Source organism: Homo sapiens, chromosome 12, assembly GCF_000001405.40.
Source record: "Homo sapiens chromosome 12, GRCh38.p14 Primary Assembly".
Lineage (NCBI taxonomy): Eukaryota > Metazoa > Chordata > Mammalia > Primates > Hominidae > Homo > Homo sapiens.
In genome coordinates, this window is record NC_000012.12 from 81,433,872 (window position 1) to 81,457,017 (window position 23,146).

At 34.0% G+C, this 23,146-nt stretch overlaps 1 protein-coding gene and 1 long non-coding RNA gene across 51 annotated transcripts in view; one reads left to right on the forward strand and one right to left on the reverse strand.

Annotated features, from left to right (window-relative positions):
* Window positions 1–23,146, reverse strand: part of PPFIA2 (PPFI scaffold protein A2) — a 501,376-nt gene that overhangs the window by 175,897 nt on the left and 302,333 nt on the right. For 43 of the 48 annotated variants that reach the window (XM_024449242.2, XM_017020107.3, XM_024449240.2 and 40 more), the window contains 2 exons: window positions 11,685–11,849; window positions 6,101–6,175 (listed from right to left, as the gene is read on the reverse strand). In XM_024449242.2, the coding sequence (XP_024305010.1) occupies window positions 6,101–6,175; window positions 11,685–11,849 (240 nt within the window). The remainder of the gene's footprint in view (window positions 1–6,100; window positions 6,176–11,684; window positions 11,850–23,146) is intronic. The other 5 variants (XM_017020105.2, NM_001220478.2, XM_047429788.1 and 2 more) reach the window with 1 other exon arrangement.
* PPFIA2-AS2 (PPFIA2 antisense RNA 2) overlaps window positions 1–23,146 on the forward strand; it is a 141,042-nt gene that overhangs the window by 16,767 nt on the left and 101,129 nt on the right. The gene's annotated exons all lie outside the window — the stretch shown is intronic.

A 23,146-nucleotide genomic window follows, 5' to 3' on the forward strand; every position in this document is an offset into this window, starting at 1 on the left:
CAGTCGTAATACAGGCTGAAGTAATGAGCTTTAGCCATTAATTAATTAGCCTGTTGGCAAAGAATTATAAAATAGTTCATTAAAGAGGTGACATCTGAGCTTGAGCTTAAATGAGGAAATATGTTTTCAATGAGTGATTTGGGGTTATGGAGGTATTCCAGGAAAGACTTTAGCATAAATAAGATTTAGAGTTAGGAAAAATGTTGCCTTCTTTAAAAAAAAATACACTCTATGACTTAAGGCCTTAGAATGACTCAGGCAGAGCAGTAGGGGTGGTGGAGTTAAAGTAGAATCTGTAGGTTAGGAACACTGAAGAAATTTTCGATGGTATGTTACAAGTCTATGTAACATATATCACTATATTGTTAACATATATTAATATAGCATAATAGATCATTATGTTATCAGTGTATTAATATGGCATATATCATATATAAGTACATATTATAGATGAGAACATATTACAAAAATAATCATTATAATTGGGGCTTCACTTAGCAAGTTTAACCTTGCAGAATTACACAGCAAAAGAGATAAGCAATAAGAACAGATAAAAGCCTACTGTAATATGTCAGGTGAGAATGCATGAAGACCTGAAATATTGTAATTTTAATACATATGGAAAAAGATGAGAGTAAACAGATATGGGGAACATTATAGACACAATTATATACATAAATTGAAACAACCTGAAAGCAGAGAGTTAAGACAAATTCAAAGATAAATACATTTTCAAGTAGGAGGGAATAGCAGTACATTAGGAGAAATAACTTCTCTGGTCTCATCTGTAAAATAATAGTATGTACCTTCCAGCATTAGTGTACTGACATATATGTATTTAGCAATAAATATTAACTATGATTACTATTAAGTGCTCCATAAAATGATCTAGTATTGATGTCATTATGGACAATAAAATCTGACTCTAAAACAACTTTATTATTTTATTTGTTTATAAGAATAATGAAAAGTTATTAAAATTTCAAACACTACAGAAACATATGGTATATATACTTGCAAACAATGGAGAAAACAAATAATAACAGTTTGGCACTTATATCTAAAACTTTTTCTATTCCTGTCATAATGAATTATTATTATTATTTATATTTGAAAAATATTGAGATTATTCTATGCAACTTCATTCTTTTTACATAGCAGAATGTTTTGGGGCTTTTTCCAGAAAAGAACATATAGTAGTTTTGTATTCTTTTTAATGAGGCAACTCACTTTATTACATTAATGTGCCATATAGAATCTAAGAGGACATCAGGAAAACTAGGTGGCATTTCTGACCCACCAGAGCATAAGGCACTTTTGTGTAAATTAGAAAATGTACTCCTTGTAGGTGGCTATGTCCTCTGGTGCATGTCTGGATTAGCAAACCCTGAGCTATATTTCAGCTCCCACTGACCTCCCTGCTGGAAATTTGTAGGAGAGAATAATCTATACAATAATTAACAAAGCCCTGTGGCAATGCCAAAGGGATGTTTGAAATTTTCTGTAGAGCTCAGAAGAGTATATAAACTTTGAGCTATAGATTTTAGTTTCTTTTCTACAGAAGTCATGGTTGAATTCCTGGATGTCTGGGGAGAATAGATGAGCGATCAATGAAAGAGATTATATAAAGAAAAGATATTAGGAGGTGATAACTCCAAACCCATCCGTGAGAATAAGACAAGTGGTGGTGGTGGGAGGAGGAGAGAGAGAAAGAGAGAGAGAGAGAGAAAGAGACTCTATATATAATAATGATAGATAGATGAGAGAATAAAGCATATTAAAATCATATAATGATGATAGAATAAACTGTATGGTCTTTTCAGATTCTACATATGCATATATGCGTATGTATGAATATATCAAGATATCATTCACAATCTAAATCTCTTCTCTTAATTATCCGTTCTGAATTTGGGAATTGAATTAATTCAGAAAAAAATGTTTGGATAAGATTTTATATCTAAACTGTCACTGTAACAAGGAGAAACTCAAGAACCAAGCAGATTATCATAATATAGCACCCTTACTCTTCAAGATGGCAATATGAACTCAGAAAACAAATAGATTTGAATGTTAAGGGACACTTGTAAATACATTTTAAATTTAATTTAAAATCTGAAACGTTGCTGGGTGAGGTGGCTCATGCCTGAAATCTCAGTGCTTTGGGAGGCCGAGTTGGGCAGACTGTTTGACCCCTGGAGTTAAAGACCAGCCTGGGCAACATGGCAAAACTCCATCTCTATAAAGAATACAAAAAAAATTGGCTGGGCATGGTGGCATGCAACTGTAGTCCCAGCTACTCGTAAGGCTGAGGCTTGAGGATCACCTGAGGCTAAGAGGTGGAGGGTGCAGTAAGCCTTGATCGTGCCACTGCACTCCAGCCTGGGCAACAGAGTGAGACCCTGTCTAAAAAAAAAAAAAAAAAAAAAAAAAAAAAAAAAAAAAAAAAAAAAAAAAAGTTAAATCTGATGCATCAGATAAACGTTTCTCCAGCTCCTTGCTCATTTAGTCATACGCAGGACTTTTGCTCTGGTTCCTGATTATTCGGCTCTTAATAATTTTTTAAACTTTTTCATGAAAATTTGCTCTTTTTTTAAAAACTATCTTCTTCAGTTATTGCCTCCAACATTCAAAAGTCACCTAGTTCTTATCCTAAAGCTGCTAATAGTATGAATTTTTCTAAATGTATTTTATCAGGTTTCTAAATATATCTTCTTATCATCAATACATGATGCTTTACTTACAGTGATTTCTTATACCAATTGCTCTTACTATAGAGAATCAACAACTCAAACTGCAAGTGTCTTCTGATTTTTTCGTAATTTCATTTTGAAATATCAATTTTATTAAGAAGTTAAAGTTGACTCTTTTCTAATTACTCTCTTAAAAGAATCACTATTGATAAGTGATTTATTATTAGAAAACTAAAGTAAATTTTCTTTATCACTGGGCTTGTGAATTTCTAAATAGGGATTCGAGTTAAGCCACATGGACAATAGTTAAAATCAACAACAAAACCAAAATGGAAGTTAATAATGAGCACGATAATTACTAACAGACGTGATTTTTACTTATGCAAGTGACTCTTATTTGTACAAATGATTTTAAGCAAAACAAATGGCATTCAGAAAAGTCTGCAGTAGATACACAGGAGTGCTAAAAAGTAAAAATTTATTTTATCTATGTAAAATCAATCAAATGTACCACACTGCCTATAGGAGATTATAATAATACTCGAGGGATAAAACTCTATTCCAGAAAACAGTCGTAAATCTTTCCTCCACTTTTGTTCTCAAGGGCTGCTGTTCAATTTTATGTATAATTGAAGTAACTACTTAGTTGCTATTCCTGGAGCAAATTTTCAGAGCCTCACTTTGAGACAGAGTCTGGCTGTGTTGCCTAGGCTGGAGTGCAGTGGCGCGATCTCGGCTCACTGCAAGCTCTGCCTCCAGGGTTCACGCCATTCTCCTGCCTCAGCCTCCCAAGTAGCTGGGACTACAGGCACCCGCCACCAAGCCCAGCTAATTTTTTGTATTTTTAATAGAGACAGGGTTTCACCGTGTTAGCCAGGATGGTCTCGCTTGATCTGCAGACCTCATGATCCACCCGCCTCGGCCTCCCAAAGTGCTGGGATTACAGGTGTGAACCACCACACCTGGCCTATGGGACACTTTTATTTCAGCTTACTTTAGCCAAGTGGTCTCATCACACCTTTGTTTATGACAAACAGAAATTCTATCACGTTCATATTAAGCCATGCTTTTATAATAGTAGCCACCAAACTTTTTGTTTGTTTGCCCTTATCAATAAAATATTTTGAGAAATGCATCCAAAATGAATGTAATTTTATCACATATAAAAATCACAATTAACATTAATAAAATATAATATGAATACACATTTTACGTTTTTTTCTGATAGTTCCAGGAACAAGTACACCCCATCCTGAAGATAATTTATCAACCCCATCTCTTTCAAAGACTGTGTACTCCTTCTCATTACCTATTATTCCAGAGGTTCTTTTCTTCTATGATGACTGAGAGGTACCAATCTCTTATTTCTTTTTTTTTTTTTTCCCCCAAACCATCCTGTTTACTAAGCTGAATCTGGTCATCAAAAAGTTTTCTTTCCTTTTTAAAGATGGCTATTTCATCATTTATGGTTTTAACACTACTAGCCTTTAATTCACATAGAGTTTACTCTCCTACTAGCTGAAAGTCCATTATTTCTAAAGGTTAAATTGTTATGGCTGGGACAAAGAAAAGCATATATACACTCATTTAATTAATCTAGCTTATTTTGAAGAACAAAAGAGTGGCTGGGCGCGGTGGCTCACGCGTGTAATCCCAGCACTTTGGGAGGCCGAGGCAGGCGAATCACTAGGTTAGGAGTTCAAGACCAGCCTGACCAACATGGTGAAACCCCGTCTCTACTAAAAATACAAAAATTAGCCAGGGGTGGTGGCACATGCCCGTAATCCCAGCTACTTGGGATGCCGAGGCAGTAGAATTGCTTGAACCCAGCAGGCAGAGAGAGGTTGGAGTGAGCCAAGATTGCACCACTGCACTCCAGCCTGGGTGATAGAGCAAGACTCCGTCTCAAAACAAAAAACAAAACAAAACAAAACAAAACAAAAAACAAAGGAGTTTGTACTGAGAAGATTTATTGAGTGGTTTGAAAATGTGTATTTGTCTGTATGCATAATGTATATGTAAACATTATCTTGTTATAAATCCCTTTATAAGACTTATCTTTACTGATATTAGCCTCATATATTTTTATAAATCTATTTATATTTACTTATTTTTTATTGATCCATAATAGATGTACATACTTTGGGGGTACTTGTGATAATTTGATACATTCATATAATGTGTAAAGATCAAAGCAGGTTATTTGGAGTATCCACCACATTAACTATTTATCTTTACTTTTTACTAGGAACATTTAAATTCTGTCTTCTAGCTATTTTGAAATGTATATTAGATTAATGTTAACTATAATCAACCTACTGATCTAGATCTATGGAACACTAGGTCCTATTTCTTCCATCTAACTGAAAATTTGTACCCATTAATCAACCCTCTTCATTATTCCCTCCCCTCTACCCTTGGTTATTTAAGAGTAAGAAGATTTTGCTAATTTATATTAGTATGTCCAATACTAGTAATACCAATATTACATTACTGGAATAAACTTGTAGGAAAAATGCAGCCTTATAAATGTCAGAGAAAAAGAGAGATGGGACTATTTTAATGGCTGACACAGGTTAAACTTCTCTCTCTCTCTCTCTCCCTCTCTCTCTCTCTCTCTCTATATATATATATAATTTTATTTTATCTATGTAATATCAATAAAATGTACCACACTGTCTATAGGAGACTATAATAATACTTCAGGGATAAATATATATATATATAGTTTTATATCTTAGGTATTATATACATACATATTTAGAGAGAGATAAATATAGATAGATACATGTATATATAAACAAATTTATGTACTCTCTATATATACCTAATTATCCAAGATAATTTGTGCGTTAAAACCCAAGAGAAGTAAAATCTTCCGAAGATAAAATAACTCTTTAAATCTTAAAAAGATGATTGAAAAAACTTTTTTGGGGGTTGTGAATAGTAGCAGAAGTGGATTCAGTGACGTCACTAAATATGAGTACAGTGCTTTTAGAAGATAAGAATAGGCAGGACCTGAGGGCAAGTATATCTCTCCAAGGAGTTCACTTTTATTTGTAGCATTTTCTAAGTTTAACAGTTATTTGATATGTGTTCCAATTTTGAGCTGTGTTTTCCTTCTTGAAACGACTGACGTTCTGCCTGTAGTCTTTCTAAATCTTCATCTCCCTAGCTCACATGTCACTAGCTTTTGATAATTTTCCTTTGGTCTAGTAGTGACACATATAAATAACCAAAAATCAGAAAACAAGACTCCGGCAACTAATTTCAACAAGCCTTGTTCAATGGCATAGACAGAATGTAATTTATTTTTTGTGACAGTTATAATAAAAGTGACGTGAAACACAAGGGATGTAATGTCAGCGATATTGCACCTCAAAAGAGGAGAAAGTGTGGCAGGTTACCTCCTGATTAGCAGCAGCTAGTTCTTCTTCCAGTGCAGAGACTCTTTCTAAAGAAACCCTCAGTCGCTCCCTTACCTAGAAGAAAAATCAAAATATGTGCAGTAATGTACATCCCATACATATTAAACTGTGCTGAATCCATAATTAACATCATCAGAGACAGTCAATTTGGCAAATTATTAAAGTATTTATATCCCTGCGTGCTCAGAATACTAAATCTGGCAGAAATACAATGAATGCATTGTCACCTCGTATTGTCACTGTATCAAGGGATTTCCTTGTAAGCAAATGCTTTTGGTAGTTCCCTGATAGAGCTTCAGGTGGGGTTGGAGATTGACTTGTCTTGCTCTGAATTCTGATTCATAGTAAGTGGAGACAAAGTTTAAAAGTATATTATGAATTCATCTAAAAAATAGTCACTGTTTAAGCATGACAAATAGGAAAAAAAAATACCCCACCTTTTTCTCTACTTCTGTAAAATAACAAGTGAATTTTCATTTGGTACTTAGTATCTAATTTCAAAAATTATTTGCCTGAAGGAAAGGCCTTTTAGAACCTGAAAAATGTTCTTCGCTTCTCTGTTTTTTATTAATTAGAGGTCTACTTTGTTTTTGAGGAATTGTAAACTACTTAAGTATCTTGGAATTTCCAACTAGCTTCCAGATACCAAAGGTTAAACCATTGTATTTTATAGAACAAAAATCTCTGTATATTTTAGTTTGAAAGTCATAATTTATGCTTGTTTCTTACATAACTGAAACTCGAAGAAGTATTTCTTTGATTCTTGCTTTCTTAGAACTTTGTTTTAGTTGTTTTATGTTTAGATCTATATATATGTCCTGATATATATATATATATATATAAAACAATTCAGAGAAAGAAATATTGCTGAATTAAAATGAATGACTATAGCAGTTTAATTTTCCTTAAAAAATCAAAAAACTTTATAGCTTTAACTTAAGATGCAATTCATGGTGGGTTTTCGATTATTTATAAATTAACTTAGATTTTTCTTGGGAATGCTATAGTATTTGTGCAGTTAAGATGTGTTTTAACATATAATTATATTCCTATGAGCTTTCATTTTATTAACTGACAGCATATTTTAATAAATGGTATTTTTCTCCTCTAATAAGATTTAACTGGGAATATAGATTAAATTTATAAAATATGTAAAAACCCAGATACATAAAAATTAAATTGGAATTATAATATTATTTTTCCAGTTAGCAAACAAACAAAAAGTCAGTAATGTCCTATTAACCTAGAATCCTATTAGGAATTTTTAAGAATCTAAGTCACATTTTAGTATTGTATTACAATACCATGTATATTCAGATGAATGGATGCATTTAATTCCTGAAATAGACCTTGAATCAGCAATAAAAATATCCAAGTAGGGGTTTTAATATTAATTATATTTTGTTATGCTTAAATTCTCTAAAAACAATAATACACACATAAATGGAGACTTGATTTCTAAAAGAGTTGCACAGGATCTTTCATCATATTGAGCTAGAGATTAACTGCCAAGTATCATTCCTGTTAGACAAATATCCAATTGTTAACAAAATACATAGGATTAATGCTGATTAATAACCAAACACTAGTTACATAGCAGGAAATCTTCGATGATTTGATTTGGAGAATACTTTTTTATGAATTTTGAATACATGAAAAAGAAGCAAATATCCCGAAGCCATGAAAATGAGCAGGACAGCTGATGTGTGGAATGCATATATCAAAAAACGTTTCAACAGACGTGTGATGTTTAACAGGGATTCCCATATTCTAAAATACCAACTGTAAAATACGGGTGTCCTGAAGAAGGCCTAGTAAACCTAGTTGATGAGAACAGCAATATGAAGCAATCTAAATATGTTAATAATCTCTCCATACACAACGCTGATCATATCACACTTAAGCTGCTGTAGAGAGAGGAAGTTACCATATTTTAAAATATCAACACATTAAAATCTTTCTAAAAGTCATTCGCATAATATAAGAAATGGTTGAATCTAGGCTACATGGTAGGTTAATATATCTTTCTTTCTTTTTTTAAACTTAAACTCTTAGAACTGTTCCAAACTGTTTTCTATTTACTACAAGTTAAGCATTTATATTTTCATTATAGTGAGTTTTTAAGGAGTAAAAGTTATCGAATTTATCCAACAATATGAAAATGAAATAATCATCTTTCATATATTTAGAATAGTGGTTTACAAATTGAGATTATGTTGTCCACGAAGTAATAAATCTAAAACTGTTTTACAAGAAAATAAAAAATTCTGAATATATTTTGAGTTATGTTATAAATTGAAAAATTGATGCTGTGAATATCAATAATGCAAACTGAAATTAATATAAGGCAGGGTTGCATTTGGGGAATTATCACTCCTACAACAGAAAATATTCTTGTGGAAATCTCCTCAGACCAGAAGCTCTAATTCATTCCTTGACACTAAGATATTTGATAATAAAAATATATAGGGAAGGCATATATATTTAATTTGTTTTGGTTTACATTTCCCATACATGTCTGATATGTTATTTTTAAATAGTCAATGATTTCTGAGTAATTGAAAAACACAAGTATATTTCTCATGTTCTCCAACCCTTGGAATTGGTAAATATATTGTAGAGTAATTTCAAAATTACTGATGGTCTTAGCTAATTATGAATATTCTATGCTACAACTTGGTGGCTGTATAAATAATTGGACATTAATGATGAAAATTATGAATCACTGCAACTCTCTACAGCTATGCTCAATCCTTGTAGAGTTTATTTAGCTCTGCATATGTACTAATCCCTCTATGATAAAGTTGTTTGTTTCCTGTCCCCAAGGCATGGTTAATTGCATCTTTTTCTGACTTCATATATATATATATATATATATATATATATATATATATATATATATATATAGTATTACTTGTTTATATATCTATATCCACATCCCTCCTCATCCCTATGAGAAACTGTGAGTTACTCTTAGGGAAATTGTCTATGAAGGCACTTAGACACATATGAGTCCCTCGACAACTAAATGAAATGCTATTGTAAACAAGCATCTGGATCAACAGTAAAACCAACATGTTTACTTGGTTTGAAAGTTTTATCAAATGCTGATGCTTACTCCTGCTAATAATAATATTCATAAACGTTCACTAAGGACTTGCCATATGCTAAGCACTGGCTGAAAGCTTTGCATATCAGATCATATCTAATCCTCATGATGACTCTGAGGTCAGTACTAGGATTATCTTAATTCAAGATAAGAGGTAATTGATGCTTTGAGAATGAATGATCAAGTCACTTATCCAGATCTGTCTGACTCCAGAGCCCCAATTCATTTCTTCTTTAGGCCACTGAGCATTACTTGTTGATAATCAGTCCAGTTGTCCCTGAACTCACCAATGTTCAGAATACCTATGGTGAGTTAATACATATTATTATAGCTCCTAGGGTCATACGATGGAACAACTCATATAGTTATGCTAAACCCACTGAACTTCTATAAAGTAAATTATTTCTAGATTACGTTGTACAACAACCATTTTTTTCTTAAATGTACTCACACGACCAGGTTATTTGTCTTAAATGCTGTTTATTACCTCTATTCTGATAAAGAATCATTCTTTTGTAAAAGCATCCCTCAAGTGATATGGGAATGCTTATGGGACCATCTCAAATCATACATTCTCTAGTACCTTCATTTAAGTCACAAAACTCTTGAATTTTCTCTGGATAGGTCCTTCTCTTCTTACAGCTCTGGGTTATTTTCTGTGTGGGTCCTGCTGCTTAGAGTATCTTTCTCTGCTTAAAAAACCCTTAATCATTCTTTAATACCTAGATCAAATGCCAACCTTTCTTTTTTTTTTTTTTTTTTTTTTTTTTTTTGAGACGGAGTCTCGCTGTCACCCAGGCTGGAGTGCAGTGGCGCGATCTGGGCTCACTGCAAGCTCCACCTCCCGGGTTCACGCCATTCTCCTGCCTCAGCCTCCCCAGTAGCTGGGACTACAGGCGCCCGCCACCACGCCCAGCTAATTTTTTGTATTTTTAGTAGAGGTGGGGTTTCACCGTGTTAGCCAGGATGGTCTCGATCTCCTGACCTCGTGATCCGCCCGCCTCGGCCTCCCAAAGTGCTGGGATTACAGGCGTGAGCCACCGCGCCCGGCCATGCCAACCTTTCTTGAAGACATCCTTGTCTTTGTCATTACTCACACAGTCACAGCTTTTTCTGTGGCTACATATTGTGATGGAAATACATCTGTTTTGAGTTGTTTTTCATTGATATGTGAATTCCTAGCACTAACTCTGAACTTCTCAGTCATAATGAGCATATCTTATTTATCTCTGTGTGTCAAACATGTGCTATGGAGCCTGACACATACTAAAAATTCTATACATATAAACTCTTGCAAATTCTTAGCACTTTTATAAAAAGAGAGGAAATATAATATGAAACTAAATATTGAATATTAAATAATTATTTGATGTCATATTTAGCAAGAATTTTTATATAATATTCATTTCTGTTTTATTCAAAATAATTCTTATACTAATTGCCTCTCGTTGCTAAAATAAAAATGAGATACAATTTCTTCTTAATACTCTAGAAGACAGAATTATAGTTATCCTTACATACACACTCCACATAATCCCCTGTTCTCAGAACATCTGAAAGACCAATGATAAAAATATAAATGTATATAAATATTAAATAGAACAAAAATATTTGCATGCTTAAAAACTAGATATAACTGGGAAATAATCCCTAGTTTGGATTTTAATGCTCAGAACTTGTCGGATACTTTACAATGAAGTGTCCCAATTTCCACTCTAACTCCTAAAGATTTACTAATTTTTAAAAGTTCAGTCTTTGAAATTTCACGAAATTGAAATACGTCATAAGCCTTCCTAATCTCCTAAGGATATTATCATCATATTGGTTTATATATGTCAGTAGAACTTATTCGAGTAACAGCTAAGAGAAGCTTACAGCTACTTTTAAAAATATCTAAACACAGGTTTTTCTACTAATACTTTGTGATGTTACATGCAGAGAATATTCAAATGAATATTTAAAACTATGATATTAGAGACATTAGAAAATAAGATGCTTCTAAAATAAATGTCTAAAAGTTAAAGTACATCAATTTGCATATCAAAATATACATAATTTTCAGTTAGTGGTCTCTTATTTTGGAATCTATAAAGAAAGACCAAGGTGGGGGGGGGGGAGGGGGGAGAGAGAGAGAGAGAGAGAGAGGCTCAATAATAATATTAAATGATATAACATTTTGAATGTCATCTGAAGTAGGGTTATAATGTACCATAATAGAAGTCTAATTCTGATAAGCCATAGATTCAGTGGTTTAGAAAAAGAAGATGTTTATGAATATTACCAACATCCACACAGTAATCCATTTTCACTTTTAAAAAATGATTTTTCATATAACTCAAAAGTGTTCCTCAACTGACTGACTTTAGGAGTCAGGTGAGTCAATGGATGAAGACAAAGAGCTTGATGCTGATGACAGAAGTGTAGTTAAGCTTGAACTCTTTTTCCATACTATACCTTTTCATCCAAGGCCTTGTGGTGCTCAAACAAAGATTTCAGTGCCTTGAGAACTTCAACTTCACTGGATACTCCTGAGGGAGACTGGGCTTGCCGTTTTACCACCGTCATTCTTAGTGATCTTTCATGTCGTGACACAAGGCACTCCAAATGCTCCAGTAATAGCTATTGGGTTTAACAGAAAATGCAATTATCTTATGAATACAAGTCATAAATACTTACAAATGACTTCCCCCTTAAATTATTGCAGGCTTACATAGTATCTAATGTTAGCTGCAGGTTACACTGCAAGCAGCAACAAAGAAGCACAGACCTGTTTAAAACAGGGTTTATAAAATACATTAAAGATAAATTGTATTTGATCATTTAACAAGTTACTGAATTTAAAAATGTAATGCAAATGTAATGCAGTCCTTTAGCAAATGTAATAATTTCAGTACGAATTCAGCAGAAATAGAACACTTGGAAAAATATGTATGATAATGATGAAAGAACATTGCTTGATGCATCATGATCTTTTTAGAGGATCATAGTGACAGTCAAAATTTATTTCATTTACATATGGCCATTAAAATAATTTGAATTGAATAAAATGAGCATAATCATTAAAATGTTACTTTAACTTAATCACATGGTTTTATTCACAATTAGTCTTTAGATTAATTATAGAAAAATATATGCAACCAATTAGAACATAGTAACTGAGATTCTCAATTGTCAGTTCAGAAAAGGAAGTTAAGGATACAGTTTTAAATTGCCTGTGTTAGAATCTATGATTTCCCAGAGTAGCCTCTGGGGCCATGACAGAGGTGGAGGGAAAGTCCCTGAAGACTTTCCAGGCTGTTTCAGGCTTTACACTCTTAGCTTTTGCCAGAGGAGTTCTGCTTTGAAATGTTTTGTGAATTGGGGTTTCATATTTGCTTTCATTTCAAAAGGAAGTTCTACTGCTAAAAAACAAAGATACATGAGAAGAAAATCAGAAATTGCTTGATTATTTTCAGTTATTATAATTTTACTAGTGAAGAACCACACACAGTTGGTGAGCATTATAGGAAAGGTCTTCGGAAGCATAGTGAAAAGCATAGGCTAACAAGTGGTGTCTACTTATGCAAAATAAAGAAGAAAATAAAGCAGAAATTACCCAAACAAAAGATTTAAAAACAGATATAAGACACTGAAGGTGGAAAGAATAAAGAAAACAACTTTATTTTTTTCTTTTCAAGATATTTTCTAAAAGTTTAACTGTAATGAAAAATTTTGGTTTTCACTATACCACTGTTAGATTCATTGTCAAGTATTAGTATCATATTTTTTGGTTGATTTCTCTACATTTGCTGTCACTAATTATGACTCAAAATGTTAGAAAACTTTGCCATTATTGGGCACAAAGAACACCAGTATCTGAGACACTAAACATGCATAAATCAGTAGATAAGAGTCACATTTAAGGATCAAACTAATCGCCGGGCACAGTGGCTCACTCCTGTAATCCCAGCACTTTGGGAGGCCAAGGCAGGCAGATCACGAGGTCAGGAGATCGAGACCATCCTGGCTAACACAGTGAAACCCCGTCTCTACTAAAATAATAATAATAATAATAGTAGTTTTTCAGTATGAAAATAACCTGAAATTTTCAAGGAGCCCTTTAAAATTTATCAATCTCTGATTATATTATGGTATTCTATTCTCTCAAATTCTTTAGATACATGTATTCATTGCATAAATCCAAGCTGTTTTACATAGGTTGTGGAGATTTGCATGAACTTAATAATGTCTGTTTTTCCAGTGGCATCTGATGTCAATCTTTCGCTGGCAAACTATGTTCCAGACTTCTGACCTACTTTTAGCTCCTCAGTATGTCAAGCCTTTGCTTATGCTGTACCCTCTGCCCAAAGCACTCCTTCTTTGGTTCCTCATTTAACCAGCTCTTTCTCATTCTTTAAGTCTCAGCTTAAACATCATCTCTCAACAAGGCATTTGCTCACTACTGTCTAAAGTAAGTTTCTCCTTTTCCCCACCTCCGCAAGTCTCTATTTCAATCCCTTACTAATTTTCTTCAGAATATTTTATGATATGCAATTTAAACAAATTTTTCTACCAAATTTCATTCTATTTTCCCATTGCAATAAAAGCTCCATGAGAGTTGGCACAGTGTCCGCCTTAATCCTCTTGATCCTCTCTGGATTTGGGTGTTAGCTCAATTCCCAACATCTATAGGTATGCAATTAATATTTGTTGAGTGAACTGAAATGTTAAATGAGTTAAATTTACATACCTCATATAGTTTTATATATCTCATACAGATTTGGCCTATATGAAAGCTAAGCCTGTGGCCATGGTTAATTGGCATTATTTCCTAAAAGCTTAGGCTAATTAACATTATTATGTACATCTATCCTTCAATCTGATGACAAAAATAATGAAACCTTTACAACACAATGAAAACTGTTTTTTTTTCTAATTGTAAATTAGAGTCATCTTGCATAATATAGTCGTTCAATAAACATATCAGCATCCAATTTTGCACAATACAGTGTAAGATTTAGAAATATAAAATATCCACCCTCTAGGAAAAGAAACACAATAATGATGCTATAAAGGATATCTGTTATTAGAGACTACCTAAATCTTTTGATCACACTCTTCACATTTGGCAAGTGGAACTTTTTAACTGCTTCTCCCTACCCTCATGTCCTCATTGTCTCTTTACCCAGCTTAAAGTTAACAATTCAGTATTTGTAAGCACTCTCTTTCATGCTCCCTCAGTTTCTAGAATCTGATCACTTGCCACTACATCCACTGCTTACATTTGTGTCCAAGACCTATAATCTCCCCCTGGATTATAATGGCTCCTTAACTGGTCCTCCTCCTTTCAGCCTTTCATCTTCAGGCTATTCTCAAAACACTATTTCAGTTAAAATGTGAGTTAGGTCATTTATACCTCTGCTCAAATTTTTAATGTCTTCTTATTGAGCTCAAGTGAAAGTCAAAGTCCTTATACATCCCAAAGGGATCTAAATTTTCTGAACTTATCTCCTATTTTTCTTCTTGCTCATTCTGGTATAGCTTCATTGGCTGCCTTGCAGTTTTTTGTTTGTTTAGTTTTGTTAGTTTTGCTTTTAACAGGCTAAACATCCATGTCCCCACAACAGGGGTTTTGTACTTCTTCTTTTCTCTAACTAAAACATTCTCTTTCAGAAATCTGTATGACTATCTCACTTCACCTTCGCTTTCATATTTTAACTCAAATGCCACTTTTCAATGAGGCTTTCCCTGGTTACCTACAACATTGGATATCTCCTTCCTAGCATATTAAAATGTTGCTTTGTGTCATTAAGTTTTTGGATAGTTTGTCATATCATGATAGGTAATCAGAAAACCTTCTCCCAAAGGATCTGTAACTATTTATTAGAGTCATAGTACTATGGACAATAAAATATCAAAGTTTCTTGAATATTACCTCTGAGCTAGGAGTAATTTTCTGATCCTCACTCTGTAAGAGTCTTCAGTAACCTGGTGGACAAACTGATTCACCTTGTAGATATCAGCCTATTTCCCTTGCCACCATGTCGTATTTCTCAATGTGCATAAAGAAGTGACCATGGTTTCAGGGTTATAAACCTGACAAAATGGGCTTCCCACGATTAAGACTGATGGAGACACCACCATGGCTGAACGGCCCAGTGGCAAGCTGCAGCAATCTAACTTGAGCCCTGTCATGATAAAGTACAGCTGGAGACCAGCTATTCACCATGAAGCAAGCATATTATATCAAATACTTTTTATTAAAGAGGAGGCAGTTTTTCCTCACTATAATAAACCCCCTTTTTGGATATAGATTTGCTTTCTCTAATGACCATACTTCTACCAGAAACACCATCTTACCGAGTTTTTGCTTACAGTCATGTTATGATATACAACATTACTTCAGACAAAAAAAAAAAAACAAAAAAAAATCTGATTTTACAGTGAAAAGAGTAATGCAATTGATGGGTGCTCCCAGGGACCCCGGATTTTATCACACCATTACATCATTTAGAAGTAGCTGAACTTATAGAATGGTTAAATAAGCCAAGACTTTTTTTTATTTTTTATTATTATACTGTAAGTTCTAGGGTACATGTGCACAACGTGCAGGTTTATTACATATGTATACATGTGCCATGTTGGTGTGCTGCACCCATTAACTCGTCATTTACATTAGGTATATCTCCTAATGCTATCCCTCCCCCCTCCCCCCGACCCCATGACAGGCCCTGGTGTGTGATGTTCCCCTTCCTGTGTCCAAATGTTCTCATTGTTCAATTCCCACCTATGAGTGAAAACATGCGGTGTTTGGTTTTTTGTCCTTGCAATAGTTTGCTGAGAATGATGGTTTCCAGCTTCATCCATGTCCCTACAAAGGACATGGACTCATCCTTTTTTATGGCTGCATAGTATTCCATGGTTTATATGTGCCACATTTTCTCAATCCAGTCTATCATTGATGGACATTTGGGTTAGTTCCAAGTCTTTGGTATTGTGAATAGTGCTGCAATAAACATAAGTGTGCATGTGTCTTTATAGCATCATGATTTATAATCCTTTGGGTATATACCCAGTAATGGGATGGCTGGGTCAAATGGTATTTCTAGTTCTAGATCCTTGAGGAATTGCCACACTGTCTTCCACAACGGTTGAACTAGTTTACAGTCCCACCAACAGTGCAAAAGTGTTCCTATTTCTCCACATCCTCTCCAGCACCTGTTGTTTCCTCACTTTGTAATGATTGCCATTCTAACTGGTGTGAGATGGTATCTCATTGTGGTTTTGATTTGCATTCCTCTGATGGCCAGTGATGGTGAGCATTTTTTCATGTGTCTGTTGGCTGCACAAATGTCCTTTTGAGAAGTGTCTGTTCGTATCCTTCGCCCACTTTTTGATAGGGTTGTTTGTTTTTTTTCTTGTAAATTTGTTTGAGTTCTTTGTAGATTCTGGATATTAGCCCTTTGTCAGATGAGTAGGTTGCAAAAATTTTCTCCCATTCTGTAGCTTGCCTGTTCACTCTGATGGTATTTTCTTTTGCTGTGCAGAAGCTCTTTAGTTTAATTAGATCCCATTTGTCAATTTTGGCTTTTGTTGCCATTGCTTTTGGTGTTTTAGACATGAAGTCCTATCATCCCTATGTCCTGAATGGTATTGCCTAGGTTTTCTTCTAGGGTTTTTATGGTTTTAGGTCTAACATTTAAGTCTTTAATCCATCTTGAATTAATTTTTGTATAAGGTGTAAGGAAGGGATCCAGTTTCAGCTTTCTACATGTGGCTAGCCAGTTGACCCAGCACAATTCAAGCTTGGACATAATACATTGCTAAGTAGGAATTCTATCATCCTGGAATTAGTATATCCTCAGAACTACTGATAGAAATAAGATAGAGTTTCTTTCTTGGAATAGCTATGGATCCATGTATGTAAGTCCAGAAACCAAGGTTTATAATTGGAATTCATAACTGCCAACTAGGACCTGTGACTAGTGGAGAAAAGAGGATCATTCCTTTTTTGTTGACACACATACACACGCTCACATACAGACACACACACTATATATACACACACGCATGCATGTTTGTGTGTGAATATATATATATAATGTACATTAATACATTATTCTCTTTTCTGTTTTCTGTACCCTGTTACCATCTTTTACCCATTAATTATCCCCATTTTCTACCCCTCCCCCTGACTGTTTGATAGTTCCTCACAATCCAAATCCCATCTTCCCAGTAACATTTCTTGGGAATGTTTACCACTAGGTGGCAGACCTGTGACTTAAGATCAGTCAACCAGACCTGACCACCCTGGGAGTTAGCCTGACGGGGCAGAGAGGAACCATGCTGGGAAGGGGTAGTGGCAGAGGCTGCGTGTTTCTGGGACTGGGCTTGTGAGAAAAATTTACAAAGCTAAGAAATGTGGTCCTAGAGACTGTCTGAAAGCTCAGTTTAGAGATTTCTTATATGCTTTAATTAATGTCTTTATTTAAACAGCCAAGCTATATACTCTGTTTTGTGCAATTAGGAACTCTCATCTACATGATAATAAAAACCAAATATGTTTTTATTAATATAAACAGACTCCTTAAGGGATGAACGATTTCACTTATCCCCAATACCAAGGAAAATATTCTACATAATAAGTACTTAATACTTGTTGAATTGGGTTAATGATAAACATCAATTATTCAGATTGAAGAATATGGACAAAAATGTTCTCATCTGGCATATATATATGGCCTAATTTAAGGTTAAAAATAAAAGTAAATAAATTAAGAGTACAAAAAGTGATACTTAGCTAAGATACCATTAACAATCTACTAATTACACACCTTCACTGGGAGCTACAACTTTAGCCTAATATTTAATAATTCTCACAGAAAGTACAAATGGAACTCTCTTTGGTATACTCAAAGGATTGTAGAGACTATGTGAATGGCCATGAATCCTATGTTTGAATTTTCTTTAAATGACCACAGGTTCTATGTGTATACACACATATGTATCATATATTCACACACAGACACACACACACACACCCACACAAACCCACACATCATGCGTCATTGGGAATTTTTTGGACTAAGTTTTGCCTTGAAAAGCAAGATGGCCCAGGTAATCTAAATCTTTTATTTTACTATGATTCTGTAAGGATTTCTAAAACTATATAACTTCCTATTAGATCTTAATTCAACAAAACCTTGTGAATAGTTATTTCCAATTATAAATGGCACTGAAACAGAAACACATTCTTCCCTGTAGACTAATGTGGCTGCTGTAATATGGTCATATAGCATGACATTAACATCTGAAAACGAAAACCTTTAAATTGGTTGCCTTCTTACTCAACCCACTCCATATCTTTTACCCTCAAATATCGTTTAAAATCCCATGTTTCTTATGCTCATGTTTGATTATGAAATTGAAATAGCTGTTGGGAGGGCGTATGTCCTATCCTATTTACTCTTGTACTGATCATATCCTATCATAGAACTTTCATAAATAACTATATACGCACATGCATGTACACATATGTAGAATCTTTATCTGTTTTCAGCTGAGAAGGTCTTCCTTTTCTGAATTGGACCGTATTTTCTACCCATTGATGAAATACATTTGGATGACATTATTAACTCGTACAGGCAGAGATTTGTCAATAAGAAAAAATTTTTCTTTAGTAGTGATGGGTGTCTAATTGTATCTCAATATCTGTTAAGATAATTCCTTTGGCTCAAAACAAAAGTGAGGGCATGGTAAGAAATGTGTCAAATGCAATTATGTCTTCTTTTTAAGTTTATGATCCATGAGATTAAGTTACAGCTTTATTATTTATAACTAGGTATTAATACTGTTTCTTGAAATCATAACAATATGAATACTGTTTCTCAAAACCATAACGTTTTTCTTTTTTTTTAATTTTTTTTTATTATACTTTAAGTTTTAGGGTACATGTGCACATTGTGCAGGTTAGTTACATATGTATACATGTGCCATGCTGGTGCGCTGCACCCACTAACTCGTCATCTAGCATTAGGTATATCTCCCAGTGCTATCCCTCCCCCCTCCCCCCACCCCACCACAGTCCCCAGAGTGTGATATTCCCCTTCCTGTGTCCATGTGATCTCATTGTTCAATTCCCACCTATGAGTGAGAATTCAAAGTCACACAATAGTTACATTCTAAAACATTATGAACAATTTAAAACATCCTTTGAGATCTTCAGCTATAAAAATAGTTGAAACAACTCCGACAATAAAAATGTTCTTCACGCTGACATTCACAGGCAATAACTATACAAAAATTCCCAGTTTTTCTTTACCTCTTCATTAGTTCAGATAACTTTGTCAAAACATGTCTTATTGATCATTTTGAGTTGAAATAACATCAGGAATAAATTATTTTCTATAAATATAACCTTCTGTAAATATATACTTGCCAAAGTATGGTCAGAGGAGTTTTAGGAATAACAAATTTTGTTTCAATATTTTTTCTACATTTTTATCAGTATAAAAATATTGAACAAAAACTTCTTTGTATGTTTCTATAAATATCCACTATAATTTTTTGAAATTTCTATTTTTGTATAATTGTTTATAATATTATAATGATTTTATTAGGATATTCTTAATTTAATAACTTGAGGCAGTTGGATTTAAGAACAACTGCAGTGATGACTGATTTTCTTTCATTCACTCAAATTTTTGCAATGTCAACGAGGTGTTTCTGTGGAGAAAACATAATACATGGCCAGGACATACATTTCAGCTTTGACCTCAGAATAAAAACATAGCAGATTGACTTTCCACATGACTAACACAAAATAAAGTAGGATTGAATTACAAAAATTTAAATAGGCCAGGAGCAGTGGCTCATGCCTGTAATCCCAGCACTTTGGGAGGTGAAGACGGGCCGACTGCTTGAGCCCAGGAGTTCGAGACAAGTCCAGGCAACATGGCAAAACCCCATCTCTACAAAAAATAACAGAAATTAGCTGGGTATGGTGGCATGTGGCTATAGTCCCAGCTACTTGGGAGGCTGAGGTGGGAAGATCACCTGAGTCCAGGGAACTCTAGGCTGCAGTGAACCATGATTGTGCCACTGCACTCCAGCCTGAGCAAGAGTGAGACCTCGTCTCAAAAGAATTAAAAAAAGAAAAAAATAAATTTGAACAAACTGTATTCTTCTTTGAACATAATACCTTTGCATCACATGTGAATTGTGGGTGACATAGGAATATGATTTCTTAAATACATAGTCTGTGGGTAAACTGAGAAGGAAGTAGTGGACTCTCTGGGTGTTTCATTTATAAGCCATTTATAGGCCTGGGACAAGTTACTTACTACCTTAGTTTTCTCTTGAATTAAATGGGAATAATGAGATTGCTGTGAGAATAAAGTGAGTTAAACATGTAAAACATTCATAAAAACATTTAGATTTTAATGTTAGCTATTATATTATCATTATTACTCTCTATCTTCATTCAATTCCCACTGGAACTTCTATTTTCTATTTTGGAAGATGGTATAATTCATCCAAATATCATTATACAGAAGGACTTTTTCTGATCTATTGTTTTTGATAACATTCAAAATTAATACAAATGACCCCATCCACACATGGTTTCATGGACTGGCTTTTTATGTTATTTAGCTCAGTTCATGAACATATCCTAACTACTCGATGTAAAGTGAGCCACAAGTTGATCAGAACTTTGGAAATTGGAATGCTCAATTACACTTTATATTTTATTTTCTTTTATATATTTATTTATGTATTTATTTTTTGAGATGGAGTCTCCCTCTGTCGCCCAGACTGGAGTGCAGTGACACGATCTCTGCTCACTGCAATCTCACCCTCCTGGATTCAAGCGATTATCCTATTTCAGCATCACGAGCAGCTGAGGTTACAGGCATGTGCCACCATGCCCAGCTATCACTTGCGCTTTAAATTTGCTCACAATCTGACACCAATTAAAGTTTCTTTACATGTGAGAAGGAAACACTAGCTTGTTGCTTTGTCTCTATGACCAGCACACAGATATTTATAGCAAGAAGAAAAGCACAACATCTAGAAAGAGAAACAACTATAAAATCTATAAAAATGGTTTTATTTAGCAACATTTGATAAGGCATCTGGTGTGAAGAGAGACATATTTGATTTTCAGCTCTGGATATACTACTTCTGGGGGATGGAGGAGGGTGAGAGGTGGTTATGTAACTTAAGGAGTTATTATATAATTAATACTGTGTACAAGGGGGTTTTCATAAATCTGTTTTCCTTGATGCAGTCGACAACAAAAATCCTCCACATCACTGCTTTAAAGAAGGTAGAAATGTATTTTCCAGCCTTATTCATATTTTCAAAGTAACTATTATGCATGGTTGAAATCAATGGCTTCAATATCTGTTATTGTTATTTTAAAGGAACTTTGTATTTTTCTAATTTTGACTCCCAAATAGGTACTTCACATGTGGCTCACCTTCCTCCCTTTATTATCCAAGACTCCTTTGCAAACACAATAGCCTCGGGTATTTCTGGTTCTCATGGGGTTCAATATGATGAAAATTGTACGGATTCTGTCACCAAATCTCTTAGCTCTCTAAAATTCATCACAATTAGATACTGTGGTGGTCTGACTGTTAAGCAATGTCCTCTCTAGCTGTAGTAAGTCTTTGAGTAATAATGCTGATGGCCTCATGGTTAGTGCACAGGCTCTGGATTTAGACTGCCTTACCTTTCAAATTCATTCTTTGCTATTTACTAACTGTGTGACTTCTGGCAAGTTATCTGACCTTTTCTGAGCTCACTTACCTGGTCTGTAAAATTGAGATAATTATAACATCTCCAGAGGGGTGTAGAAAGGAGTAAGGGGCTGAAGAAAAAAGGCTAGATGAACCTACACAGCTAATAAAAGAGTGTCTGGTGCATTTTAAATGTGAGCATTAGTTATAAACCTAACCAAAGCTTTGTATTTCCCTGCATTCTCAGCTTTCTGCTCCTACTTTTACACTTGAGTGTGCTGTGTTAAATCAAGGAATGTAGTCTAAAGTACTAAAATATAACATAGTGGAATAGGGCAGAATAAATGTCATGGTATAAATAAATTTTAAATTTGCACGAAAACACAGTGTTAAGTTAAAAAAGTCAAGGGTAGGAAATATATAGAGAGGAAGACAGCAAAAGAAAAAAATTGTCTGATACCTGATAATATGATCTAAACTGCCCTTGTTATGCCCTGTTTGAGGCAATCCATTTGACAGGTTCATCAGAGTATCATTGAAAACCAATTCAATGTATGCATGTATGTGAATTCTCTTTACCATGAAATAAGACCTTGATAAATAAGGACATAAATTCAGTTTGATCATGTAACCATTATGCAAGCAACCCTATCTCTCATTAAAGGCACAAGCTCCCAGTTAGTAGAACTGTATTTTATATTACTCTCTAAGACTCATAAAGTGAATAGGCCATTAGCTATACCTATTTTTTTCAGGATTGATCTATTATAGCTATAACATTTAAACTATTTTTCACCAACTTCAGTTGTATTTAAATTGAACTTACATCCACATAGAAGTGGTTTTTTTCTACTTCCTTTTAGTAAACTGTACTCCTCTATGGGTAATGTGGTAATTTACATGTTTATAAAATTTAGTGATTTTTTTTCTCAAAGAAAATATAGCATGTTTATCAAATTCTGAACTTTAATGTTACATGGCATGTCATATGCTTGATGAAAATACATGGGTTTCCAAAAGTAGAATCTAGCAAATTCCATGAGTTTCATGAAATCAGAATATCATGGCTGGACATTCCCTTGGAAATTTATTAAAACATAAAGGCACTCCTCTTTTAATGGGCAGATTTTTTTTTCAGTTTTTTTTTCTTGACACTATTTTTTGTTTCCTTTTTATTTTATTTATTATTATTAT